Source organism: Homo sapiens, chromosome 16 (genome assembly GCF_000001405.40).
Source record: "Homo sapiens chromosome 16, GRCh38.p14 Primary Assembly".
Taxonomy (NCBI): Eukaryota; Metazoa; Chordata; class Mammalia; order Primates; family Hominidae; genus Homo; species Homo sapiens.
Window position 1 is genome coordinate 46917925 of NC_000016.10, and position 27401 is coordinate 46945325.

Consider the following 27401-nt stretch of genomic DNA (forward strand, 5'->3'; position numbering starts at 1 on the left):
GAGGAGGACGAGGAGGACAGGGCCTGGCTTGGCAATGGAGCCAGCTTGACCCTCCGACTGATCCCCAGGGCCCCAGAAAGGCTCAGTTTCTCTGATCTCCAAAATAGATGGGGAATTAACCTCAAAGGCCAGGGTGGGTGTCTGCCAGCTGTGAGTGCTGGACTCGGGACTGGAAAGAACCAAACGGGTATAAATGCTGCTCTGGCAGGGAAAAGTGGGTGGAAGAACACAATGATTCCACTCGAGTGGGGGGTTAAGTGTTGCAAAGGAAACCCAACAGGGTTAGCTCTTCAAATAGGAGGTCAGAGGAAAGGGCCACTAATGCCGTCGTCACCAGTGTTGGTAAAGCAAGGAAGCACCGTGCTTTAGGAGGAGAGTCTGCTTGGGAGGATGGGGGTCTCAGCACCATCACTGGTCAGATGGGGTGGAAGGGAAGTCTGGGGATTGGGTGGGGACGAGTGTGAGAGAAATCAAGTGAGCTCCTGAGCTGTCTCAGCATCCAGCCTGAGGCCTTGCCTCCTTGCTTATTCCAGAAAGTTCCTTCAGGCACACTTGGCTCATCCCTGGAATGGCACAGGAGGCTGGGCCGGCTGGGCCTCATGGCCCACAGCACCTGTGCCCTCCCTTGCCTTGGCCACACTGGGCAGCAGCCTCTTTGAGGACCCTTTGGTGACCGTCCCTGCCGTGCCCCCGCAGGTGTACCAGGACAACGTGTACTCTCCAGATTGCAGATTCCACTCCTTCAAGAAGGTGCTGTACGAGATGGGGCCCGAGTACTCCAGCAACGTGGAGCTCGCCTCCTTCCACTCCACCTCCAAGGGCTACATGGGCGAGTACGTGGGCCTCCCTTCCCTCTGCCACTGCTGGGCCTGCCAGATCCTCACGCTGCCGGCTCCTCTGCCCTGCCCCGTGGTCCACCCACTTGGATGGAGAGAAGGCTGCCCTTATCTGTTGCTTCTGCTGCATCTCCCCAGTGGGAGAGCCGTGGTGTGAGAACAGCCCTGGTACAGGGGCTCAAATAAGGGCGTGCTCAGAGAAGCCTGACAACGGACAAATGGAGTGGAAACAGGACTACATGGCAGCTTGCGACACCTGGTGTTTTCTCTGTCACTTGTTCCGAGGTTGACTGATGTCTGAGAGGTCAGGGAGGGCAGATAGAGCAGACAAACAGATGCTGTTAGGCTGACTGGCTGTGCTCTGGGTGCAGGGCTGCCTTAGGCACTGTGTGACCTCAGAGGCTAAAGGGTCAGCTGTAATCCTGTGTCTGTTCATTCAGCTAATGTTTACTGAGCACTTACGATGAGTCCGGCACTGATCTCAGCACCGCGGATGCCGCAGCGAACACCCTCCTGCCGGCACAAAGCGTGGGTTCTAGTGAGGGGGGAGAGCTGTAGGCAAATGAGTAAATCGTGCGTCCCACGGAGAACAGTCATTAGGAGAGAGGTAGGGGTGGGGTCGAAGGCTGAAGTGGTGCAGCCTCACTGAGGAGTTGGCTTCTGAGTTAAACCCCGAAGGAGTGTGGTGGGGAACTGTGCAGATATCTGGGGGAAGAGCATTGCAGGCAGCGGGAGCAGCCTGGGCAAAGACCCTGTGGTAGCAGCACACCTGCTGTGCTGGCAGAACACACCTGCCATGTTGGCGGAACAGCCAGGAGCTGGAAAGGAGGGGGCACGGGGGCAGTGGCAGGAGTGGAGACCTGAGAATTATAGGAGGCCAGGTCACCTGGTCCACTTTGCTGATTGTATTTTTCACTTGTGTTCAGCATGAGATAGGAGCTGTTGGAGGGGGTGTGGCCTTGCTTAGCTGGTGTGTTGCTCCTTCTGGCTGCTGTGTGATGGGGGATGGGGACAGAGGCCAGGAGGCTGTTACAGTCTCCCAGGTGAGATATCGTGCACCAGACAGAGATGGGGAGAGGATCCTGGATGTATTTGAAGGTGGAGTTGATAGGAATTGTGAGTGGAAAAGACAGGTGTGGGAGAGAAGAGTCAAAGATGAATCCTGGCCAGGTGCAGTGGCTCACGCCTGTGATCCAAGAACTTTGGGAGGCCGAGGTGGGAGGATCACTCGAGGCCAGGAGTTTGAGATCAGCCTGGATAATATAGCAAGACCCCTTCTCTACAAAAAAATGTTTTAAAACTCAGCCAGGTTTGGTGGTGCGCGCTTCCAGCTACTCAGGAGGCTGAGATGGGAGGATCGCTTAAGCCCAGGAGTTCCAGGCTGCGGTGAGCTGATGACGCCACTGCATGATGAATCTTTAGTTGTTCAAACAACAGGAAGGATGGTGTTGCAGTCAACAGATGAGGAAGGCTGAGGGTGAAGCAGGTTTAAGGGGAAAGAGCAGGAGTTTGGTTTTGGACCTGTTAAACTGAAACATGCCAGCTTGGCGTCCAGGTGGAGAGAGATGTGTAAGTCTCCAGGCAGGCTGACCTCTGGTGGGTGGTTTAAGTTTGGGAGATGTCCGGGTGTGAATTGTAAGATTGTTGGAGCTCTAAGCCTGGACACATCTCATACGTACATGGAGTGAGGCCTGGGCCTGGGCCCCCACTGCTAGGAGGTTAGGGGAAAGAGGAGGAAGCCACAGAGACTGAGGAGAGACCAGTGGGTTTGCAGCAAAGGGCATGTGTTCCCAACGTGGTGGGGTCCTATTCTGTGCCAGGTGTCGGCATGGGGAGGGCTCTTGGTTGTTAGGCTGGAACAGTGTAAGCGTGAAGCTCAAAGGAATACTTCCGCCAGGTCAAGGGAGCAGTCCCCTTGGGATGGCTGCCAAACTGTTCTTGGGCTTCTTTGATCTGGGCGCAGGCTAACAGGCTGGTCTTTCTGGTCTACCCTGTAGCAGTTCTGGCTCCTTGCTTGACTTCCTTTTGCTCTGTAGCTCTTTTCCTAAACAAATCTGTTCTCGGTGAACTCAGTTTTCAAACTCAAGCATGTTTACCACACACTTATCCATTGCCCCATCTCAGTTATTGATTACACTACCAGTCAGTGCCCTGATGTTGGGATCCTGAGTCGTGCCCGGTGTTCTCAGATCTGGATGAATTAGGGTCTGACTGCTTTACTCATTTTGATTCTCTGCTCATCAGCAAAGGATTAAGCAGAAAGTTCTTTCTTTCCATTTTTGTTACCAGACACTTTTCTGAGATGTTAGAATTTATCTTCCCACCTTGAAACGTCCAGTCCAGGGATCAGATGGGAATCTTTGCCAGTTCCGTTCAGCAGTGTGATCCCAAAAGCATGGTTTTTTTGATTTTTGTTTTGTTGTTTTGAGATGTAATCTCGCTCTGGAGCCCAGGCTGGAGTGCAGAGGCGCGATCTTAGTTCACTGCAACCTCTGCCTCCCGGTCTTGGTTCAAGCAATTCTCCTGCCTCAGCCTCCCAAGTAGCTAGGATTACAGGCATGCACCACCATGCCAAGCTAATTTTTGTGTTTTTAGTAGAGACGGGTTTCACCATGTTGGCCAGGCTAGTCTTGAACTCCTGACCTCAAGTGATCCGTCCACCTCGGCCTCCCAAAGTGCTGTGATTACAGGACTGAGCCACTTCACCCGGCTCCCCCAAAAGCATGTTACTAAGCATCTCATTGTGTCAGGTGCTCTGAGGCTGGGGGTGGGGGATGCATGGAGGAAGGTGACCAGGTTCCTGCCTCCAGGCACCTGCGTTCCTGTGGTCGTTAGTGTGAACGTTTGCAGCCACACACCAGAGAAGGAGATGTATGTTGCTGATTTGGTCTGGAAAGATTTTTTTTTAAAACTCATCATGTGTCCTCAGCTTATTTTCATATGATTTGATTTATAATTTGGCTATAAATTACAGAACTTGGCACGGTGACTCACGCCTGTAATCCCAGCACTTTGGGAAGCTGAGGTGGGAGGATCGCTTGAGGCCAGGAGTTCAAGACCAGACTGGGCAACATAGCAAAACCCTATCTCTACATACATAAAAAGTGAAAAAAATTAGCCAGGCGTGGTGGCACACACCTAAAGGTCCACCTACACACAGGTGTGGCACACACCTACAGTCCCAGCTATTTGTGAGGCTGAAGTGGGACTATTGCTTGAGCCTAGGTGGTTGAGGCTGCAGTGAGCTATGATCATGCCACTGCACTCCAGCCTGGGTGACAGAAAAAGATCCTGTCTCTTAGAAAAAAATAGGAGTTTGTACACAATCATCACTGTTGTTCACCTTCCATTGGCAAGAACTCAGCCACACCTGGCCATTTGGTGTTGGGTGTGGGAATGCTTTCGATTCTGGCTGTCCAAATGGCACTTTGTTGAGGTCTTTCTATAACTGGTGGTCCTCTCCCTCTCTTTGGCCCTCCAGGTGTGGTTACAGAGGAGGCTACATGGAGGTGATCAACCTGCACCCTGAGATCAAGGGCCAGCTGGTGAAGCTGCTGTCGGTGCGCCTGTGCCCCCCAGTGTCTGGGCAGGCCGCCATGGACATTGTCGTGAACCCCCCGGTGGCAGGAGAGGAGTCCTTTGAGCAATTCAGCCGAGTGAGTCCACTGTGATGCGTCTGCACCCCTGTGGCCGGGGTCACGAGAGTTCCTGCTGGGCCAGTGGCCAGCCTGTCTCCAGGTGGCCAGACAGCAGCCTCCTGAGGGTGTGGCCTGCAGGTGCACTCATGGCTCTTCAGAGCCTGAACCACCCCTATGAGTTGAAGTCTGGAAGCGCAGCTGGGCATTGTTTGGAAGTAGGAGGACTGTGAGTGTGTGTGGGCAGGTGAACCCTTCCTCTTCCTCATGGCGAGTGTCGAAGAGGGAAGGGAGCTGTGTCCTGATAACACACTGGGGGGACTCATGAAACTGAAAAGAAGACGAGGAGGTAGAGGGGCGCAGCATCGATCCCAGGCCCCCACCCGCCTCTGCCAACCTGTGTCCTCACAGCTTGACAGGGTCCTCCAGCTCTGACAGCTTTGACCAGTTCAAACAAAGGAATTTATGGGTCAAGTAATCTAGAAGTCAGCTCCCAACTGGTCCAGGCTCACTTCTTTTTTAAAAAATTGTGGTAAAATACACATAAAGTCGACCTTTTTAACCTTTATAAAGTGCTCGGTTTTCTGGCATTCAGGACATTCACAATGTTGTGCGGCCATCACTGCCATCCATCTCCAGAGCCGTTCCATGATCCCACACTGAGCTCTACCTGTTACCCACTAACACCCTACCCTGCCCTCCCCTTAGCCCCAGCAGCCACCCTTCTACCCCCTTCTCTCTGCACTCACCTCCTCGAGATTCCTCATATAAATGGAGTCATGTTGGCCGGGCGTAGCGGCTCATGCCTGTAATCCAAGCACTTTGGGAGGTTGTGGCAGGCGGATCACCTGAGGTCAGGAGTTTGAGACCAGCCCGGCCAACATGGTCAAACCTCATCTCTACTAAAAATACAAAAATCAGCCGGGATGGTACATGCCTGTTATCCCAACTACTCGGGAGGCTGAGGCAGGAGAATCACTTGAACCCAGGAGGCGGAGGTTGCAGTGGGCTGAGATTGCGCCATGGCACTCCAGCCTGGATGACAGAGCAAGACTCCGTTTAAAAACAAAAAAAGTAGAGTCATGTCTTATTTGTCTTTTTGTGACTGGCTTATTTTCCTTATCATGATGTCCTCCAGGTCCATCTGTGTTGTGGCCCGTGTCGTGATTCCAGGCTGAACCATGCTCCCCACGTGGACAGGCCACATAGTGCTTATGCCTCCATCTGCAGCCCACACCTTCCACGCCACTTGGCCGGCGGCACCTGTGGAAGCCCTGGACGGTGACTGTGCTCCAGCCGTGGACATACGCCCAGCTCAGGCCCAGTCACTGACCTTGACTTGCTCTGCCTGGGTCCTGTGCTGCATGCACACCACACAGACAGAGGGTGGGGCGCGCTGGTCCCCCCCAGATGCATTGGTGGGGCCCATCTGCAGAAGAATGGGCATGTGTCCTAGAAGCATGTTCTGAGGAATTCCGTCCAGAGCCAAGTCCATACAGACTGACAGGCAACAACTGGTTTTTCTCATTTTCTGGAAAGACATCCTGGTACGAGAATAGAACCCATGACACAGGCTGCTGGGCTCTACCCTTTGGCCTAGAACTCCCTGGTGTCTGTGTGCCCCACACCCCAGGGCACGTGGCAGCCTCCCAGGGTGAGCGCTGTGGAAGAATTTGTGCCGGGAGATGTGTTCCACCCACCTCCCTGTTTTGCTGTGCTCAGGCTCACACAAGCTCTTCTTTGGTCAGTCTGTCTGATACCCCAGTGTCGAAGGAACAGACCACCCCACCCACTCCGTCTGTGTGGTGTGCATGGGGCATGTGACCCAGGCAGAGCAAATCTGAGTCAACGCATGGGTCAGAGGGGACATGTGTTCAAAGCTGGAGCAAAGTCATCATCTGGGATTTCCGCAAGTGCTGCAGGAAAGATCAGTGGCTGGAGTGAATCTTTATCCAGAGATACTGACTGCTGTGCTGTTTCCATCTCTCATCAGGAGAAGGAGTCGGTCCTGGGTAATCTGGCCAAAAAAGCAAAGCTGACGGAAGACCTGTTTAACCAAGTCCCAGGAATTCACTGCAACCCCTTGCAGGGGGCCATGTACGCCTTCCCTCGGATCTTCATTCCTGCCAAAGCTGTGGAGGCTGCTCAGGTCTGGGGCATGGGCTGGGCTGGCTCTCTCTTACCAGGTTCACCTGAGATGCTGGGTTGGGGGCCCCTGCTTATCTTGGGGAGCAGAAGTGCTGGCCCTGGAGGCTCGGAACTGTATGCACCTCTCGGCCAGAGGGTGTTGACCGTGTAAAGATGACAGGTTCTTGGAGGCCCAGCTGTGTGCTGTGTTGATGGGCAAACATGAGGTGGGCCCCAGGGGAAAGGAGCTGATCTGGACTCTGTGAATGCTGCTGCTCCCAAGGGCGGTGCCCAGGTGAGATGCCTGCGGGGGAAGCAGCAGGAGCTACCACCTCCACCCAGCCACTGCATTCTGGAGCAGCGCTTCCCAAACTTCAGTGTGTGCACCGATCACCTAGGGCCTTTTTTTTTTTCCTTTTTGTGGAGAACGGGTCTCGCTAGATTGCCCAGGCAGGTCTCAAACTCCTGGGCTCAAGCCATCCTCCTGCCTCTGCCTCCCTAAGAGTTGGGATTACCGGCTTGAGCCACTGTGCCTGGCTTGTTTGTTTTGTTTTAATTACATTTTTATAGAGAGAGATGGGGTCTTACTTTGTTGCCCGGGCTGGTTGCAAACTCCTGGGCCTCAAGGGAACCTCCCATTTCAGCCTCCCAAAGTGCTGGAATTGCAGGCGTGAGCCACTGCCTGGCTTGTTTTTTTGTTTTTTGTTTTTTTTTTCTGAGACGGAGTCTTGCTCTGTCGCCCAGGCTGGAGTGCAGTGGTGCGATCGTGGCTCACTGCAAGCTCGGCCTCCCGGGTTCGCTCCATTCTCCTGCCTCAGCCTCCCAAGTAGCTGGGACTATAGGCACCTGCCATAACACCCGGATAATTTTTTGTATTTTTAGTAGAGACGGGGTTTCACCGTGTTAGCCAGGATGGTGTCGATCTCCTGACCTTGTGATCTGCCCACCTCGGCCTCCTGAGTACCTTGTTAAACACCCAAGTCTAGGCCCCATCCTAGACCTACAGAATCAGAATTCCTAGTGTTAGGCTGGGTGCAGTGGCTCACACCTGTGGTCTCAGCACTTTGGGAGGCTGAAGTGGGAGGATCATTTGAGCCCAGGAGTTCGAGACCAGCCTGGGCAACATAGTGAAACCCTCTCTACAAAAAATTTAAAACTTAGCTGGGTGGTGCATGCCTGTGGTCCCAGCTCCTTGGGATGCTGAGGTGGGAGGATCGCCTGAGCCTGGGAGGTTGCGGCTACAGTGAGCTGTGATCATGCTACTGCACTCCAGCCTGGGCGAGAGCAAGATCTCTTCTCTTAAATAAATTTAAAAAAAAAGAATCCCTGGGCCAGGTGTGGTGGCTCATGCCTGTAATCACTTTTGGGAGCCCAAGGTAGGTGGATCACCTGAGATCAGGAGTTCAAGACCAGCTTGGCCAACACGGTGAAACCCCCATCTCTAAAAATATAAAAAAAATTAGCTGGACATGGTGGCCTGCAGTGTAATCCCAGCTACTCTGGAGGCTGAGGCAGGGAGAATCGCTTAAACCCGGGAGCTGGAGGTTGTAGTGAGCCGAGATCACGCCATTGCACTCCATCCTGGGCGACAGAGTGAGACTCTGTCTCAAAAAAAAAAAAAAAAAAAAAGGAATCCGTGGTGTAGTCCGAGCGCGGTGGCTCACGCCTGTAATCCCAGCATTTTGGGAAGCTGAGGCAGGCAGATCCCTTGAGGTCAGGAGTTCGAGACCAGCCTGGCCAACATGGCGAAACCCCATCTCTACTAAAAATACAAAAATTAGCCAGGTGTGGTGGCACATGCCTGTAATTCCAGTTACTCAGGAGGCTGAGGCAGGAGAATTGCTTGAACCCAGGAGGCGGAAGTAGTGGTGAGCTGAGATCATACCACTGCACTCCAGCCTGGGTGACAGAGGGAGACTCTGTTGCAAAAAAAAAAAAAGAATCCCTGATGATAGAACCTGAGAATCTGTAGTTAAGAGGCTCCCCGGGTGGTCATGCAAACCAGTGTGTGGGAAGCAGTGTTGAGAGTGCCTCAGAGAAGCTCGTTCCATGAAAATTGTGTGCAGACCCCAGGGCCCCATTTTCAGAGGATTATGCAGCTTGACCTGCAGGAAGCCACTGCTGATGCCTGTTGAGTGGCTGCCTGGGGATGGGCACTGCCCGATGACGGGCAGGAGGACCACTACCTACACCTGGCTGTCCTGCAGTAGTTTTCAGGTGTCTGTGCCTGGCACCAGCCACCAGCAGTATCCCAGCGTCTGGCCCTGGTCCTCTAGGAGCGGAAGGGGAGAAGGGCACTGCCGTGGGAGAGAGACCTGCCATTTAGATTACATTTGGCTTTGAGGGTTGAATGGTGTGTTTGCAAAGCCAGGAATGATCATGAGCTCTGTCTGCTCCCATAGGCCCATCAAATGGCTCCAGACATGTTCTACTGCATGAAGCTCCTGGAGGAGACTGGCATCTGTGTCGTGCCCGGCAGTGGCTTTGGGCAGAGGGAAGGCACTTACCACTTCAGGTATGACTTCCTCTCCGCACTAGGGGCTGGTCCGGGTCTTGTCCAGGGAAATGTGGACTTCTTGACATGGAGCAGAGGACTACTTCAAAGAGAGAGGTGCGGAGACCCTGTCCTCTCTCGAGTCACCCCTACTCTGTCCTGCTGCAGACCCAAGCTCAGACCCTGCCCAGGGATTAAGAAAATCTGGGTGGTTGTCTGCTCAGGGTTATATTCCCTGAAAGGTCTTCCTTGACTATTCTGTCTCTCCCCTCTGCCATCGGTCCCATCGCTGTCTGAAATGTTCCTAGTAGGGTGTTTTCTTATTTTGCTGTCCGTTTTCAACTCTGCGATGGCAGCACACAGCTGCCAGTGCCTGGAGTGGTGCTGGCATGTGCTTAGTAGCTCCTGGCAGCACCCTGGGCCATGGCACTGCCTGTGATCCCAGAGCCTGCCGAGGAACTGCAGGGGAATTTGCTCCACTCATGCCCAGGGCATACCCCGTTCTGGCCCTGCATGGATGGGAATGCCGGTGCCCAGAGCTGAGCTGGCTGGAGCAGAGGTTTTCCACTGAGGCCAGTTCTCTTCAGAACAACATCTTCCCCATACATGTTGCTCTCAGAGGTCTCCTGCGGCAGATGCTAAAAAAAAGAAATGGCATGAGCTGTTAGCACCCGGAGCCAAGTCTTGACTTAGGCAAGGTTGTGGGTTGTGTCCCCTGATGGACAAACCTTGTCCGGTTGGCCTTCCCACCCCTGGTCAGGCTCATCTCGGTGGTTGATGGCTTGATGAGAAAGTGATTTAAGCAAGAGGGCTGCCAGGAAGGCCAGGGAGCATTTTGGTGCACCAGAGGGAGGTGTTAGTTACTGTGGCAACTTGGAAATTCCTTTGGAGCAGAGTTGTGACTGGAGGGTGTCTCACTGTCAGACTGACTAGAGATAAAAAAGGCCCCTCAGGTAGGAGTGAAATCTCTCTCTCAAACTCTAGGAAAGCCCGAGTCATACTCTAGAGAAAGTTCTGATCAGTGGTCAAAATGTTCCAGAGGGCTGAGTGCAGTGGCTCACACGCTTTGGGAGGCCAAATTCAGGATGGCTTGAGTCCAGGAGTTCAAGACCAGCCTGGGCAACATAGCAAGACCCTGTCTCTACAAAAAATTGTTTAAAAACTAGCCAGGGATGTTGGCGCATGCCCGTAATCCTAGCTACTCGGGAGGCTGAGATGGGAGGATCACCTGAGCCCAAGAGTTTGAGGCTGCAGTGAGCTATGATCACTCTACTGCATTCAAGCTGGGGCAGCAGAGTGAGACCCTATCTCCAAAAAAAAAAATATGGCCAGGTGCAGTGGCTCATGCCTGTAATCCCAGCACTTTGGGAGGCCAAGGTGAGCAGATCATGAGGTCAGGAGTTCGAGACCAGCCTGGTCAACATGGTGAAACCCCGTCTCTTCTAAAAATACAAAAATTAGCTGGGCGTGGTGGCAGGCATCTGTAATCCCAGCTACTCGGGAGGCTGAGGCAGGACAATTGTTTGAACCTGGGAGGTGGAGGTTGCAGTGATCGCGCAATTGCACTCCAGCCTGGGCAACAAGAGCAAAATTCCATCTCAAAAAAAAAAAAAAAAGTGATGCAGGCCTTCTGCAGTAATGGGTGGATATGTCTTAGCCTAAATGCTGCTCCAGTTTATTGCTTTTGTTCACGTGTATTACTTGGGTGAAAAAACCAACATGTGAATGAAGGGGAAAGTGGTCCAAGTGCTGGGTGCTGTCCGGGCTGGAGCTGTCGAAGCAGACCAGGCAGACCTCCCTCTTCCATTCCTAGAGGCAGTTTAGCTGCTGGATTCGTTCCTCTCCCATCTTGCAGAGCAGCCAGGCTGACACTGTTGTCTCTCCTGCCAGGATGACTATCCTCCCTCCAGTGGAGAAGCTGAAAACGGTGCTGCAGAAGGTGAAAGACTTCCACATCAACTTCCTGGAGAAGTACGCGTGAGGACGCCTGAGCCCCAGCGGGAGACCTGTCCTTGGCTCTTCCTCCCAATGCCCGTCAGGCTGAACTCGCCTCCCCCGTGACTCTGCCTCGGGCCTCGCAGAGGCCGCTGGTCACTTCGTCATCATTTTGCCCCTGGAGACGTCTTTCTTTGTGCCTTGATGTTGAGAGCGCCTCTCTTTTGAGCAAACAAGCATTCTATATGCAACCAGAGTAGAGGGGACCTGCTCAGCAGGTGTGACCAGGGTTCTCTGAATCTGTTATTGTTTTTGCTTCTGGAAAGTTCATTTGGGGTTTACAACAACTAGGATGTGTTGGGTGAGATGTTTCAGATCTGGAGAAATGAGCAGGTGTCGGGAAATGTGTGACTTAACCGTGGTGAGGGCTGGAAATCCAAACTCACCACCATGATCTGTGAAATAAAGCCCTTAGCGGTGTGAAGCATCCGGTCCTTTGAACAGAAGGGCCTGGAAGGCCCCTGGGGCTGAGAAAGGGTCCGCCCGGTGGCCTGGAGGCAGGCGCCGGGAGCGCAGTAGCACGTGGACTGGGCAGGATGTTGCACTAGCTTGGGGTAGATGCTGGGGGCTGCGGCCACGGTCAGAGGGCCCCACTGTGAGGCGTGGGTGTGAGCCAGGCTGCAGGAGGAACTGGGCCTCCGCTTCCCAGCAACGCAGCCAGGCCTGAGAATTCTGTGCGCCCGGCGGGCTTTGGGAATGAGGGGTTCCCTTGAACATGCGTAGGCTGGAACCCCGTCTGAGAGGTCTCCCTGAATTTCAGTGACACATAGTGCAGCCCGGCAGTGTCCCACTTCCGTGGAGAGAGCCGCTGGAATGGTGTGGACCCATCCCGCGGGTGACCGGTGCCTGTTCTCCCCTGACCGAGCCTGTGAGCACATCGCCCCCTGCTGGCGACAGCGGGGAAATGAGGGCTGAAAATATCCTCCCCACAAGGGCAATCCCCGGGACCTGCCGAGCAGCCAAGGCCCTGTCCTTTCTTGAATGGTGGCGAGCTGAATCTGGTCGGTTTCCTAGCTTTTAGGTGGTAAAAGTGCCTGGCAGCTTGGCTGCCGTGGAGGAGTCAGTCGTGGTTGGAGGTTCATTGCCGTGCTTTCATGCAGAGTGTTTTGCCTTCATGTTAGCTTCCGGCTCCCCTCCCAGGCTGCAGACTCTGACCTGTGGCATCAGGCTTCTCCCAGTACAGGAGGGTGCCATCCCCCAGCATGCGGCTTCTCTGCCATTAGCAGCCCTGGGCGGGCCGACCACACTCGAGGCTGCGGTGCTACGGGCTTAGCCCTCGCCTCCCTCACTGGGAGCTTCCCCATCCTCCCTGCCTTCCCCAGTGGGAAGTTAGGGAAGCTCAGGAGCCTGGGACCCCGCATGTCCCAAAATGGGATTGGAGAAGCTGGAGAGAAAGCAGAAGAGGCCGAGGAGTGAGGCAGCAGCCTCTATGCTGTGATTTCCACACCGGGTCCGTGCAGAGGAAACAGAAACTCCCAACTGTCCTTACCCACCGACATCACAGCCCCTATGAAGAAAGTAGCCACAATCTCAAATAACAAAAGGGAATGTTCTAAAACTTTTTCTTCCTTAAAAAATGGAGAAAATTGCACTTGTGCTTGCTGTGTGGTATATAAACCAGGATTAGTCCCAGGGTCGTGAGGTTTCTGGTGAAAAGGTTAAATCGTAGAAGCTAGTATATTTTTTATATTTTTGTAACAATTGCTTTTTTCATGGGGGAGGCGGGGTTAGTATTTATAGTCCTAACAAGTCCAGTAATTTTTTATAAATCTTCAGATTATAAACAGCCCCTAAAAACTTTACAACGTTTACACAGTTTTTTAAAAAGAGACTGTATACACTTGATTTGCTTTCAAAATAAATAAGGTCAGCTAGTCTAGGAGGTTAACGTCGGGTAGGAATGCTGATCATGATAGGTTTGGTTTTCTACAGATTCTGTTCCGGTGCCTTTCCTATCCAGGCACCACCTGAGAAAGTTGTCATTTGAGGTCGCACTTGGAAGTTACATCTGTGAAGTTTCTGTCATTCGTCCAGATCTGTGTGTGTAGCATGTGCTGAGGAAGCACGTGCTGGGCTGTGCCTCAGACAGTGCATCACCGGGCACCCAGAGGCTTGCCTGGCTATTCCTGTTCTGGTGTGTGTGGAGTGTTGGGGAGGAACAGATGCAGATCAACCTGTGGCTGTTTTCCCGTCTAGGTTCTCACAGGTATCTCCTGACAGAGGTACTTAACAATGGCTCTGCTGGAAATTTCTATAAATAAAATGTCCAAAATGGTGACTGCGTTTAACTTTCATTGTAGTTTGAATGTAAACATTGAGGACATTACTAACTTTACACCTTCACTCTTTGTAATTTATGTTCCCAGCACAATAATGGACATTTCCCCCAAACATGACAGAACTCCACTCCAGGCACAGCTTCTCAGCTTCCATGTTCTTTTTTTTTTTTTTTTTTTGGAGACCGAGTCTTACCCTGTCACCCAGGGCTCAGGCTGGAGTGCAGTGGCGCGATCCCGGCTCACTGCAACCTCTGCCTCCCAGGTTCAGGCGATTCTCCTGCCTCAGCCTCCCAAGTAGCTGGGATTACAGGCGCGTGCCACCACACCCAGCTAATTTTATATATTTAGTAGAGACATGGTTTCACCATGTTAGCCAGGCTGATCTCGAACTCTCAACCTCCGGTGATCCGCCTGCTTCAGCCTCCCAAAGTGCTGGGATTACAGGCGTGAGCCACGTTGCCCGGCCTCCATGTCATCTTAGGGCTTGATCCTAAGACCCCTGTGCTGCTTTTTTGTTCACTTATGGTGGAGAAACTTCATGGATTCTTTGAAATACAATGTGCTTAAAATGAACACAGACCGTGGCTCCCTGGTGGAAGAGAAATAAGAACAAACAGCCTCTTCCCTGGGGCTGGGGAGGGTGGGCGAGGGAGCACTGGAGGCCCGTGGGCAAAGGGGGAATTGTCTATAAGAGGGAGTTCGTTCATTTCCCATATCGACGTTTGATTTTGATGTGTGATTTTGGAATTCAGGACTTTTTCTCAAAACTCAAATTTCTGTGTCTTCACTAAAGAAAATTTGGTGGCCAGGCGCAGTGGCTCATGCCTATAATCCCAGCACTTTAGGAGGCCAAAGTGGGAGGATTGCTGGAGCCCAGGAGTTCGAGACCAGCCTGGGCAACCAAAAAAGATGCTATCTCTATAAAAATTCAAAAAACTAGCTGAGCATGGTGGTGTGCACCTGTGGCCCTGTCTGCATAGGAGGCTGAGGCAGAAGGATCACGGGCCCAGTAGTTCGAGACCAGCCTGGGCAACATAGACCCTGTCTCTACAAAAAAAAATTGAAAAAATGAGCCAGGTGTTGGGGCACACACCTATAGTCCCAGCTACTTGAGAGGCTGAGGTGGGAGGATCACTTGAGCCCAGGAGGTTGAGGCTATAGTGAGCCTTGATCATGCCACTGCATGCTAGCCTGAGTGACACAGCAAGACCCAGTCTCTTCTTTATTTTTTTTGAGATGGAGTCTTGTTGCCCAGGCTGGAGTGCAGTGGTGTGTTATCAGCTCACCGCAACCTCTGCCTCCTGGGTTCAAGTGATTCTCCTGCCTCAGCCTCCCAAGTAGCTGGGATTACAGGCATGCTCCACCATGCCCAGCTAGTTTTGTATTTTTAGTAGAGACAGGGTTTCTCCATGTTGGTCAGGCTGGTCTCGAACTCCTGACCTCAGGCGATCTGCCCACCTCGGCCTCCCATAGTGTTGGGATTACAGGCGTGAGCCACCGTGCCCGGCCGACTCAGTCTCTTAAAATTTGGAAAATATAGAAAGAAAAAATTACTTCAGTTGGAAGTGATAGAAATCCACTCAGAGTAGCGTCAGCAGAAAGAGGAAGTATGGCCTCGCGCACCTGGGAGGGAAGCCTGCTTCGGTTTTTAAGTTCACTCTGTTAAATGCAGTCTGTCTCGTCCAACTCCACTTGAAAAAATCCCAAGGGAGGATCCTGATTGGCTGCCTGGGCCCATGTGCCTTTCTCTGAGCTCGCCTCTGATCCATGAGAATAAGGAGCTTGGGTGGCCCTGTTCACACAGCAGGAGGAGGTGGAGCCCACTGGGGCCATAACATTGAAGAGGAGACGCTGCTCCCCATAGGAAAGGGAGTTGGATGTGGTGCTGCCCCAGCAAAACCCATTTACCACAGGGCCTTTTCAGAGAGGGATAGAGGAGGGAGGGGTGAGTTCAGGGTGGGTTGAGGGGCTGAGCGTGCTGGCTCACACCTGTAATCCCAGCACTTTGGGAGGCAGAGGCAGGAGGTTTGTTTGAGGCTGGGAGTTCAAAACCATCCTGGGCAACAGTGAGAACCCACCTCTACAAAAACTATTTTTAAAAATTACCCAGGCATGGTTACACATGTCCATGGTCCCAGCTACTCAGGAGGCCAAGGCCAGAGGATCGCTTGATGCCCAGGAGTTCAAGGCTGCAGGGAATCGTGACAGCACCACTGCACGTCAACCTGAGCCACAGAGCAGGACCCAGTCTCTTAAAAAAAAAGTGGGGTGTTGGCGGAGGTGAAAGTGAGCCAAGATTATGTCACTGCACTCCAACCTGGGTGACTGAGCCAAACCTTGTCTCAAAAAAAAAAAAAAAAAAGTGGGTGATGCGTAGAAGGGAGGGGATGATGCTGTTTTCCACTGGTGGGCACCTGACCACTTCTCAGTGCTGTCTGCTGATATCCTGTCACTCTGCCCCCCAAGTGGGGAGAACTCCAAGAAGAAGGAAGATGAACCTTACTGCCAGCCATCCATCAGCTCTCTTCCTTAGGAAGCACAGGTCGGCTGGAGAGTCAGAGAGAGATTTTATTTTCCACTTTAAAAAAAGACATACTGACCTTTTGGCTCTCTCCAATTTCATCTGCCTTTGCTCTGAATGCAAATATTGGGGGCATCCCTCAAAGTCCTTTTGAAGATACTAAATTTTAAAACTTTTTTTTTTTTTGGAGACGGAGTCTCACTCTGTCTCCCAGGCTGGAGTGCAGTGGCGCGATCTCAGCTCACTGCAAGCTCCGCCTCCCAGGCTCACGCTATTCTTCTGCCTCAGCCTCCCCAGTAGCTGGGACTACAGGCGCCCGCCACCACGCCGGCTAATTATTTGGTATTTTTAGTAGAGACAGGGTTTCACCGTGTTAGCCAGGATGGTCTCGATCTCCTGACCTTGTGAACCACCCGCCTCGGACTCCCAAAGTGCTGGGATTACAGGCATGAGCCACCACGCCCAGCCAAAACTTTAAAAATGGATTCATACGCAGCTTAACAAAAACATCAACTATCTCTCTTTAAAAAACTCAGGAGTTTGAGACCAGCCTGGCTAACATAGTGAAAACCCGGCTCTACTAAAAATACAAAAAATCAGCTGGGCGTGGTGGCAGGCACCTGTAATCCCAGCTACTCGGGAGGCTGAGGCAGGAGAATCGCTTGAACCTGGGAGGCAGAGGTTGTAGTGAGCCGAGATTGCACCATTGCACTACAGCCTGGGCGACAAGAACAAAATTTCGTCTCAACAACAACAAAAATAAAACCCAATCCATTTATGCCTGTAATCCCAGAACTTCAGGATGCTGAGGCAGGTGGATTGCTTGAGCCCAGAGTTCAAGACCAGTCTGGGCAATATGGAAAAACCCTGTCTCTACAAAAACACAAAAATTAGGTGTGGTGGCACATGTCTGTAGTCCCAGCTACTCTGAGACTCAGGTGGGAGTATCACTTGAGCCCGGGAGGTTGAGGCTGCAGTGAGTCGAGATCATGCTACTGCTTTTAAGAGAGACCCTATCTCTTAAAAGCAAAAACAAAAAGCAACCCAGAATCCCAGTAATGTTTAGAACAAAGACAGACCATAAAAGTGTATATTACATAAAAGTGTGAAATTCTCAAAAAATATTTTATCAAAGTAAACATGCTTATATGGAAAAACCAGAAAATAAAGAAAATGTGAAACCCACTGTGATCCTCTAACCAGAGTTAATCAAGTCTAACATTCTGGGAATATTTCTTTACTGTTCTTTTCCTGAGAATATTTTTATGTGGTTGACGGGGGTGCATAGTTCTGGGTCCTGTTTCCCCTTGAATGTTACAACATGTTAATAAAAATGCCTGATGAAAAACAAAAATTAGCTGGGTGTGGTGGCAGCCGCCTGTAATCCCAGCTAGTTGGGAGGCTGAGGAAGAAGAATTGCTTTAACCGGGAGGCAGAGGCTGCAATGAGCCGAGATCACGCCATTGCACTCCAGCCTGGGTGACAGAACAAAACTCCATCAAAAAAAAAAAAAAAAAAAAAAAGCCTGGTGGGCAGTTTCTATGGCTGCCTCAGCCATTCCATGGATGGATGACTGTCATTCATGGCACCTCCAGCATTTAGGTTGCGTACAGTTCTTGGTTTCTAAAATAATACCGGCCGGGTGCGGTGGCTCATGTGTGTAATCCCAGCACTTTGGAAGGCTGAGGTGGGCGGATCACGAGGTCAGGAGATCGAGACCATCCTGACTAACACAGTGAAACCCCATCTCTACTATTAACACAAAAAATCAGCCGGCTGTGGTGGCACGCGCCTGTAGTCCCAGCTACTCGGGACGCTGAGGCAGGAGAATTGCTTGAACCCAGGAGGCAGAGGTTGCAGTGAGCCGAGATTGCACCATTGCACTCCAGCCTGGGTAACAGAGTGAGACTCCGTCTCAAAAAATAATAATAAAATAAAATAATGCCGTATAAGGAACGTACTTACATAAAGAGGGTACTTCTCTCTCCCACCCTTGTATTTAGGATCATTGCAGGCCATTCTTAGCAGTTCCATTGTTAGTGGTGGAAGGTGCCAGCACGCCCAGCTAATTTTTGTATTTTTAGTAGAGATGGGGTTTTACTATGTTGGCCAGGATGGTCTCGATCTTTTGACCTCGTGATCCGTCTGCCTTGGCCTCCCAAAGTGCTGGGATTACAGACGTGAGCCACTGTGCCCCGCCCGCCATTTAATGCGGTGCATCTTAATGCACGTGCCCGGGAAGTTGCCTCTCCCTGGTGCCTGCATTCAATTAACACTTTAGGGCAACAGGTGTGGATCATCAGGAAATGGACTCTCCCTGGCATGGGCTCCCAGTTTATCCCTTTTAGAGAGGCAATGTTATCACTCGACATTCCTAACGGGTGGGAGAGAGCACTCTGCTGCGCCACTCAGCCCTAACTACCTGTAACACCATGAACTCTTCCAGGCCAGTGTTCCCTACCAGGGCATGACACCTCTTCTTCACTATGGTCTGGGAGGCAGAACACCAAAGGGACTGTCCCGAGAGCAGCGTCCAGGGTAGGTGGACCATGGCATGCACCTTGGCTCTACCCCTTACCAGCTGTAGGATTACTCAGTGTTAACACTGTAAAACGGGGCTAATACCCACTCATTGGGTAATAGAATAAGTGTGAGTGGCTGGGCACGTGGCTCATGCCTGTACTCCCAGCACTTTAGGAAGCTAAGGCGGGAAGACTGTTTGAGTCCAGGAGTTTGAGACCAACCTGGGCAACATAGTGAGACCCTGTCTCTCCAAAAAATACAAAAATTATCCAGGCATGGTGGCACATGCCTATAGTCCCAGCTACTTGGGAGGCTGAGGTGGGAGGATCCTTTAAGCCGGGGAAGCAGAGGTTGCAGTGAGACAAGATGGCGCCACTGCATGCACTCCAGTCTGGGGGACAGAGCAAGACTCTGTCTCAACATAAAGAAACACAAATAGAATAAATATGAGAATTAAATGGGAGAAAAAAATGCATGTGTGTGTGTGTATGTAACTTAGCATAGTTCCTAGCAAGCAAATATGTTTGTTGAGCACTTTAGCTGATTATCTTTGGTTTAGAGCAGTGCTGATATAAGTGTTCAATATATGTTCCAATTGAAGGAAAAAATATGCCCTTAGTATGCCAAATACATTGTGAAAATGCCATTTCCCAACATTTCCAACACATGAACGTATTCTGCTAGCCAGAGTGTCAGAGGCATTTGAAGCAGAGTGACTCTATCTTGAATAGGGACTGGGTAGAAGAAGGCTGAGACCTACTGGGCTGAGTTCCCAGGAGGTGAGGCATTCTAAGTCACAGGATGAGATAGGAGGTCAGCACAAGGTACAGGACACAAAGACCCCGCTGATAAAACAGGATGCAATAAAGAAGTGGCTAAGGGCCGAGTGCGGTGACTTACACCTGTAATCCTAGCAGTTTGGGAGGCCAAGGCGGGCAGATCACTTGAGATCAGGAGTTCAAAACCAGCCTGGGCAACATGGTGAAACCCCATCTCTACTAAAAATACAAAAAAAAAAAAATTAGCCGGGTGTGGTGGCGGGCACCTGTAATCCCAGCTACTCAGGAGGCTGAGGCAGGAAAATCGCTTGAACCCAGGAGGCGGAGGATGCAATGAGCAGAGATCACGCCACTTCACTCTAGTCTGGGTGATGGAGCAAGACTCTGTCTGAAAAAAAAAGAAAAAAAAGGCTAAAACCCACCAAAACCAACATGGCCATGAAAGTGACTTCTGGTGGTCCTTGCTGCTCATTATATGCTAATTATGATGTATTAACATGCTAACACTCCCACCAGTGCCATGACAGTTACAAATGCCATGGCAACATCAAGAAGTGACCCTATACAGTCTAAAATGGGGAACAACCCTCAGTTCTGGGAATTGTCATCCTTTTCCCAGAAAACTCTTGAATAATCCACCCCTTGTCTAGCATGTAATCAAGAAATATTCATAAAAATAGCCAACCAGCAGCCCTGGGGCTGCTCTGACTATGGAGTAGCCATTCTCTTATTTTTTACTTTCCTAATAAACTTGCTTTCACATTACTCTGTGGATTCACCTTTAATTCTTTCTTGCAGGAGATTCAAGAACCCTCTCTTGAGGCCTGGATCGGGAGGGACCCCTTTCCGGTAAGACAAGTACACAGGTTAGTTATTTTTTTTATTTAGTTATTTAGTTATTTTTTATTTTTTTTGGAGACAGGATCTTGCTGTGTCCCCCAGGCTGCAATCATAGCTCACTGCAGCCTTGACTTCCTGGGCTTAAGTAACTAACCCACCTCAGCCTTCCGAGTATCTGGATCTACAGGCTCATGTCACCACGCTTGGCTAATTTTTAAATTTTCTGTAGAGACAGAGTGTCACCATGTTGCCCAGGCTAGTCTTGAACTCCTGGGCTCAAGCAATCCTCCCGCCTGTGTCTTCCAAAGTGCTAGGATTCAAGCATGAGCCATCTTGCCCGGTCTGCCTTTTTTTTTTTTGGACACAGTTCCTGAAATGAAAAGTGCATTGGATCCAGTTACACTATAATAGCAAAAATCGTGTTCTTAAATTGAACCTACTGGCCATACGCAGTGGCTCATGCCTGTAATCTCAATGCTTTGGGTGACTGAGGTGGGAGGATCACTCGAGGCCAGGAGTTTGAGACAAGACTGGGCAACATAGTGAGACCAAGTCTCTACAAAAATAAAATAATTAGCCGGGCATGGTGGTGCATACTTGTAGTCCTAGCTACCCGAGACTACTTCCTGAGGCAGGAAGATGGTTTGAGCCCAAGAGTTGAAGTCTGCAGTAAGCTATGATCACACCACTGTACTCTAGCCTGGGTAACAGAGCAAGACCACATCTTTAAACCAAATGAAAAAAGAAACCCAAAAATAAATTAATTGGGCCTACCTAATGAAGACTGGTGCCATGGACATTTGTTTTTGGTGCAGATCTATATTGACATGTTGGCTCCAGTTAGGAACTAGGACCATTTGGACTCCTTGGCATTTACACAAGGTAAAGTCCTCCCCCAAAAGACCTTTGTGGGGCTTTGTCCTTTTATGGTTAAGTTAAGCTGCTGTTTGCCATTTCTAAACTAAAGCTTTAAAGCAAAATGCCCCCAGTCTTTCGGGCCAGCATCATGAAATACATTGGGTGTCAAAACCCCACTCATTCAAGGAAATATGGTATATAAGTGTGAGCGGCTGGGCACGTGAACCACTGCACCTGGCTGCCTGGAGTTTAATTTAATGGCCTTATCTTTGTTACCTACCAGGGCATCTGAATGAGTGTTGGCATATTTATAGATATGCTAAAGCCTCATGTTATTCATTCATCAAACACTGGCTTAGCAGCTGTGCACCAGGCACAGGGTTAAGTGATGGGGACACAGCAGTGACTAAGACCTGATCCCATGATTTATAAGGTTGATAATACCCCATGCTGGTAAGAGAGGGGAAGCCAACACTGATACACTGTTAGCAGTGGTGTGACTTTATACAACTTTTTTTTTTTTTTTTTGAGACAGTTTCACTCTTGTTGGCCAGGCTGGAGTGTGATGGCTCAGTCTTGGCTCACTGCAACCTCCACCTCCCAGGTACTGCAGCCTCCACCTCCCAGGTTCAAGCGGTTCTCCTGCCTCATCCTCCCAAGTAGCTGGGATTACAGGTGCCCACCACCACACCTGGCTAATTTACGGGGTTTCATCATGTTGGCAAGGCTGGTCACGAACTCCTGACCTCAGGTGATCCACACACCTTGGCCTCCCAAAGTGCTGGGATTACAGATGTGAGCCACCATGCCCGGCCAAATTTATACAACTTTTTGAGAGAGCATTTTGGTATCATCAGCATTCAATATACATATGCCTGTTCTAGGCCAGGTGCGGTGGCTCATTGCTGTAATTCCAGCACTTTGGGAGGCCAAGGTGAGTTGATCACCTGAGGTCAGAAGTTTGAGACCAGTCTGGACAACATGGCAAAAGTCTGTCTCTACTAAAAGTACGAAAATTAGCCAGGCGTGGTGGTGGGTGCTTGTAATCTCAGCTACTTGGGAGGCTGAGGCGCGAGAATCACTTGAACCTAGGGGCGGAGGTTGCAGTGAGCTGAGATCATGCCACTGCACTCCAGCCTGGGTGACACAGCAAGACTGTGTCTCAAAAACAAAAACAAACAAACAAACAAAAAAACATATGCCTGTTCTAAAACTATAGTAATCATCAGCCAGGCTTGGTGGGTCATGCCTGTAACCCCAGCACTTTGGAACGCCAAGGCTGGTGAATCCTTTGAGCCCAGGAGTTTGAGACCAGCCTGGGCAACATAGCGAAACCCCCGTCTCTACAAAAGACAGAAAAATTAGCCAGGTGTGGTAGCATGCGCCTGTAGCCCCAGCTACTTGGGAGACTGAGGTGAGAGGATCACTTTAGTCTGGGAGGCAGAGGCTGCAATGAGCTGAGATTGTGCTACAGCACTCCAGCCTGGGCGACAGAGTGAGACCCTGTCTCAAAAATAAAATAAATAAAACCATAGTAATCAAGACAGTCTGGTACTGCTGAAAGGGCAGACAAATAATGGAACAGAATAGAGTCCAGAAATAGACTCCCATGCATTTATCACTTTGGCATAAAATAGACCACATACATGTGTTGCATGCAATCACACACACGCATATATCTTTCACACACTTATGTTGACGAGTATGCCAAAGTAAACACAATGGAGAAGGAAAGTCTCTTCAATAAATGGCGCTAAAACACTTGGATGCTAAAGCATCCATATGGGGAAAAAATAAGCCTCAATGCCTACCTCTATATATGCTATATTTTAGATGGATTGCAGACCTAAAATTTAAGAGCTAAAATTGTAAAGCTTCTAGAGGAAAACCTAAGAGAATATCTTTGCAACTTTGAGATCCACAAATATTTCTTTCTTTTTTTTTTTTTTGAGACAGAATCACTCTGTCGCCCAGGCTGGAATGCAGTGGCACCATCTCAGCTCACTGCAACTTCTGCTGCCTGGGTTCAAGTGATTCTTCTGTTTCAGCCTCCCAAGTAGCTGGGATTACAGGTGTGAGCCACCATGTCTGGTTAATTTTTATATTTTTAGTAGAGATGGGGTTTCACCATGTTGGCCAGGCTGGTCTTGAACTCCTGACCTCGAGAGACCCACCTGCCTTGGCCTCCCAAAGTGCTGGGATTATAGGCGTGAGCCACCATGCCCAGCCAGAGACATGGAAATATTTTTTAGGATAAAAAGGCACAAATTGGCTGGGCTCGGTGGCTCACGCCTGTCATACTAGCACTTTGGGAGGCCAAGGCGGGTGGATCGCGAGGTCAGGAGTTTGAGACCAGCCTGGCCGATATGATGAAACCCTGTTTCTACTAAAAATGCAAAAATTAGCCAGGCGTGGTAGCGCGCACCTGTAATCTCAGCTACTTGGAAGGCTGAGGAAGGAGAATTGCTTGAACCTGGGAGGTGGAGGTTGCAGTGTGCTGAGATTCTGCCACTGCACTCCAGCCTGGGTGACAGAGTGAGACTCTGTCTCAAAAAAAAAAAAAAGGCACAAATCATAAATGAAAACATCAATAAATTGGACTTAACCAAAACGACAAACAGAGAGAGGCTCTCTGAAAGAAAAGATACTGGTCTGGGAATAGAGCATTGCCATAGGAATACACAGACCACAGTAAACTATGTACATATGCAGGAAGGTAAAGAAAGTCAAAAGCTTTTAAAGGAAAAAATGTGGAGGATTACTTGTTTTGAAATAATTATCCCTGGCTACAAATATCAATAACAAGGGTGATGCCAGTCTGAGGTTGGACAGGCAGCTGCTAGGTAGACATCCTTGCAGAAGTATTTTTTGTGTAAAACGTGATGGCTTTTGTGCAAGGTTGTGGTTTTTGCTGTCTTCTGTGATAGTTTTTGTTATCAGGCATACCAACATAAAACCCTCTCTTTGTGACTTTCCCTAGCTCCATTTGTCAGGGTTTTTCTTTTTTACTTAAAAATATTTTTTAATTTTTTTTTCAGAAACAAGGGTCTTGCTATCCTGCCCAGGCTGCTCTTGAATTACTAGCCTCAAATAATCCTCTACCTCAGCCTCCTGAGTAGCTGGGATAATAGGCAGGAGGCACCATGCCCTGTTTCTCAGGGATTTTTTTTTCCAAACATTAGTGACTCCATTTTGATTCTGACAGCATTCACAAGTTTATCAAAATTAAGAATTTCTGGCCAGGCACAGTGGCTCACGCCTGTAATCCCAGCACTTTGGGAGGTCAAGGAGGGCAGATCACTTGAGATCAGCAGTTCAAGAGACTAGCCTAGCCAATGTGGTGAAACCCCATCTCTACTAAAAATATAAAAATTAGCTGGGTGTGGTGGCAGATGCCTGTAATCCCAGCCACTCGGGAGGCTGAGGCAGGAGAATCACTTGAGCCTGGGAGGCAGAGGTTGCAGTGAGGCGAGATCAGGCCATCGCACTCCAGCCTGGGTGACGAGAGCGAAACTCCATCTTAAAAAAAAAAGGAATTTCTGATCTTTAAAAGACATCAAGAAAATGAAAAGACAAGCCACGGACTGGGAGAAAACATATTTAGAACATCAATTTGATAAAGAACTTGTATACAGAATACATAAAGAACTTCAACAACTCTGTAACAATAAGAAAAACAACTGTAGAGCCAGGCGCAGTGTTGCAAACCTGTAATCCCAGCACTTTCAGAGGTCAAGGCAGGAGGATTGCTTGAACCCAGGAGTTCAAGACCAGCCTGAGCAATATAGCAAGACCTCATCTCTAGAGAAAACTTTAAAGATTAACCAGGTGTGGTGGTGATGTTACCAAATGGGTTCCAATGCAGACCCCGAGAGAGGGTTCTTAGATCTCATGCAAGAAAGAATTCAGGGCAAGTCCACAAAGTGAAAGCAAGGTTATTAGAGAAGTAAGGAAACAAATGAATGGCTAATCCACAGGTAATGCAGCCCAGAGAGCTGCAGGTTGGCTATTTTTATGGTTATTTCTTGATTTTTTTTTTTTTTGAGTCGGTGTCTCGCTCCGTCTCCTAGGCGCTCGGGCAGTGGTGCAATATCAGCTCACTGGCAGCCTCCACCTCTCAGGTTAAAATGATTCTTGTGCCTCAGCCTCCTGAGTAGCTGGGATTACAGGTGCACACCACCATGCCAGGCTAATTTTTGTATTTTTAGTAGAGACGGGGTTCCACCATGTTGCCCAGTCTGGTCTTGAACTTCTGTCCTGAAGTGATCCACCTGCCTTGACCTCCCAAACTGCTGGGATTACAGGCATGAGCCACCGCGCCTGGCCTATTTCTTGATTACATGCTAGACAAGGGGTCGATTATTCATGAGTTTTCCAGGAAAGGAGTGGGGATTTCCCAGAGCTGGGGGTTCCTCCCCTTTTTATAGGGTAACTTCCTGTTGTTGCTATGGCTTTTGTAAACTGTCACAGCACTGGTGGAAGCGCCTCTTACATGCTAATGTATTATAATTAGGGTATAATGAGCAGTGAGGATGACCAGAGGCCACTTCTGTCACCATCTTGGTTTTGGTGGGTTTTGGCCAGCTTCTTCCCCGCATCCTGTCTTATCAGTAGAGCCCTTATGACCTATGTCTTGTGATACCAGTCTTGCCGACCTCCTGTCTCGTCCTGCAACTAAGAATGCCTAACCTCTTGGGAATGCAGCCAGCAAGTCTCAGCCTCCTGTTACCCAGCCCTCATTCAAGATGGAGTCACTCTAGTTTGAACTCCCCTGACAGTGTTGTGCACCTACAGTCCCAGCTACTCGGGAGGCTGAGGCGGGAGAATCACTTGAGTCCAAGAGTTCGAGGCTGCAGTGAGCTGTGATCGTGCCACTAAACTCCAGCCTCGGCAACAGAGTGAAACCTTATCACTTAAAAAAACAAAACAAAACAGTTTAAAAAAAATAGGGGAAAGGTTTGAACAGACACTTTATAAGAGAAGATGTACACAAGGCCAGTAAGACCGTGGAAATATCTGAGCTTCAAGTCAGGGACATGTAAAAAAATTAAATAGAAGCATGGAAAGATGCTCAACATCAGCAGTCCTGAAAAGGAATGCAAATTCAGAGCACTAGGGAACAGCCAAAATGACCAAAATGAGAAAGCTTGACAATGTTTTTTTGTCCACAAGAATGTGGAGCAATTGAAATACTGGTGGTGGGAATGAAAAAATGATAAATTGGCCAGGTGCAGTGGCCCACACCTGTAATCCCAGCACTTTAGGAGGCCGAGACAGGTGGATCTCTTGAGGTCAGGAGCTTGAGACAAGCCTGGCCAACATGGTGAAACCCCATCTCTACAAAAAAATACAAAAATTAGCTGGGCATGGTGGCACATGCCTGTAGTCCCAGCTACTTGGGAGGCTGAGGCAGGAGAATCACTTGAACCCAGGAGGCAGAGTTTGCAGTGAGCCAAGATTGTGCCACTGCACTCCAGCCTGGGCGACAGAGTGAAATCCTGTCTCAAAAAAAAAAAAAAAAGGAGGAGGAAGAGGAGGAGGAAGAAGAGGAAGAAGAAGAGGCAGAGGAGGAGGAGGAAGAAGAGGAGGAAGAGGAGGAGGAGTAAGAAGAAGGAGGAGGAGGAGAGAGAGAGAGAAGGAAGGAAGGAGGGAGGGAGCGAGGGAAGGAAGGAAGGAAGGTTGTTAAATAGCTGGGCACGGTGGCTCACACCTGTAATCCCAGCACTTTGGGAGGCCAAGGTGGGTGGATCACTTGAGGTCAGGAGTTCAAGACCAACTTGACCAACATGGTGAAACCCTGTCTCTACTAAAAAAATACAAAATTAGCCAGACATGGTGGTGCACACCTGTAATCCCAGCTACTTGGGAGGCTGAGGCAGGAGAATCGCTTGAACCCAGGAGGCAGAGGTTGCAGTGAGCTGAGATCATGCCATTGCACTCCAGCCTGGGCAACGAGAGCGAAACTCCATCTCAAATGGCTAAAAAGTTGCAAGCCTTTATTTGTGTTTAGATCATTGCTAGATTAATCAGATTTGGTATTTAATTGCTTAATGTAACCTGTGTTACCAAGTATGTACATCAGGCCAGGCACGGTGGCTCACCCCTGTAATCCCAGCACTTTGGAAGGCTGAGGTAGGCGGATCACTTGAGGTCAGGAGTTCATGACCAGCCTGGCCAACATGGTGAAACGCCATCTGTACTAAACACAGGAAAATTAGCCTGGTGTGGTGGCATGTGCCTGTACTCCCAGCTACTCGGGAGGCTGAGACAGGAGAATCGCTTGAAGTGGGGACGGGGAGGTTGCTGTGAGCCGAGGTTGTGCCACTGTACTCCAGCCTGGGCGACAGAGTGAGACCCTGTCTCAAAAAAAAAAAAAAAGAAAAGTACATCAAAGAATTTTAATGTCTTAATTGTTGCTTTTATTTTATTTATTTATATATTTATTTATTTGAGACAGGCTCTTGCTCTGTCACCCAGGTTGCAGTACAGTGGCACAATCTCAACTCACTGCAGC

General features: G+C 49.9%; 1 protein-coding gene across 8 annotated transcripts in view, besides 5 other annotated features; it reads left to right on the top strand.

Moving 5' to 3' along the window:
- The window catches only part of GPT2 (glutamic--pyruvic transaminase 2), a 46928-nt gene extending 33563 nt beyond the window's left edge, over positions 1-13365 (top strand). For all 8 annotated transcript variants that reach the window (XM_047434812.1, NM_133443.4, NM_001142466.3 and 5 more), the window contains exons 8-12: positions 697-833; positions 4318-4492; positions 6465-6620; positions 9001-9113; positions 10983-13365. In XM_047434812.1, the coding sequence (XP_047290768.1) occupies positions 697-833; positions 4318-4492; positions 6465-6620; positions 9001-9113; positions 10983-11073 (672 nt within the window). In that variant the 3' untranslated portion in view covers positions 11074-13365. The remainder of the gene's footprint in view (positions 1-696; positions 834-4317; positions 4493-6464; positions 6621-9000; positions 9114-10982) is intronic.
- Positions 670-769: an enhancer, noted in NCBI's record as "active region_10781". NCBI's record gives its function as "activates an Ori minimal core promoter by ATAC-STARR-seq in GM12878 lymphoblastoid cells {active_cell/tissue: GM12878}" and the evidence as "EXISTENCE:reporter gene assay evidence [ECO:0000049][PMID:35858748]".
- Positions 1673-1967: an enhancer, noted in NCBI's record as "tiled region #12922; K562 Activating DNase matched - State 8:EnhW". NCBI's record gives its function as "activates a minimal TATA promoter and a strong SV40 promoter by Sharpr-MPRA in K562 cells {active_cell/tissue: K562}" and the evidence as "EXISTENCE:reporter gene assay evidence [ECO:0000049][PMID:27701403]".
- Positions 11659-12198: an enhancer, noted in NCBI's record as "H3K27ac-H3K4me1 hESC enhancer chr16:46963495-46964034 (GRCh37/hg19 assembly coordinates)". NCBI's record gives its function as "activates a minimal SCP1, AML or CMV promoter by ChIP-STARR-seq in primed H9 embryonic stem cells {active_cell/tissue: H9 hESC(primed)}" and the evidence as "EXISTENCE:reporter gene assay evidence [ECO:0000049][PMID:30033119]".
- Positions 11857-12056: a silencer, noted in NCBI's record as "silent region_7438". NCBI's record gives its function as "represses an Ori minimal core promoter by ATAC-STARR-seq in GM12878 lymphoblastoid cells {active_cell/tissue: GM12878}" and the evidence as "EXISTENCE:reporter gene assay evidence [ECO:0000049][PMID:35858748]".
- Positions 12199-12736: an enhancer, noted in NCBI's record as "H3K4me1 hESC enhancer chr16:46964035-46964572 (GRCh37/hg19 assembly coordinates)". NCBI's record gives its function as "activates a minimal SCP1, AML or CMV promoter by ChIP-STARR-seq in naive and primed H9 embryonic stem cells {active_cell/tissue: H9 hESC(naive and primed)}" and the evidence as "EXISTENCE:reporter gene assay evidence [ECO:0000049][PMID:30033119]".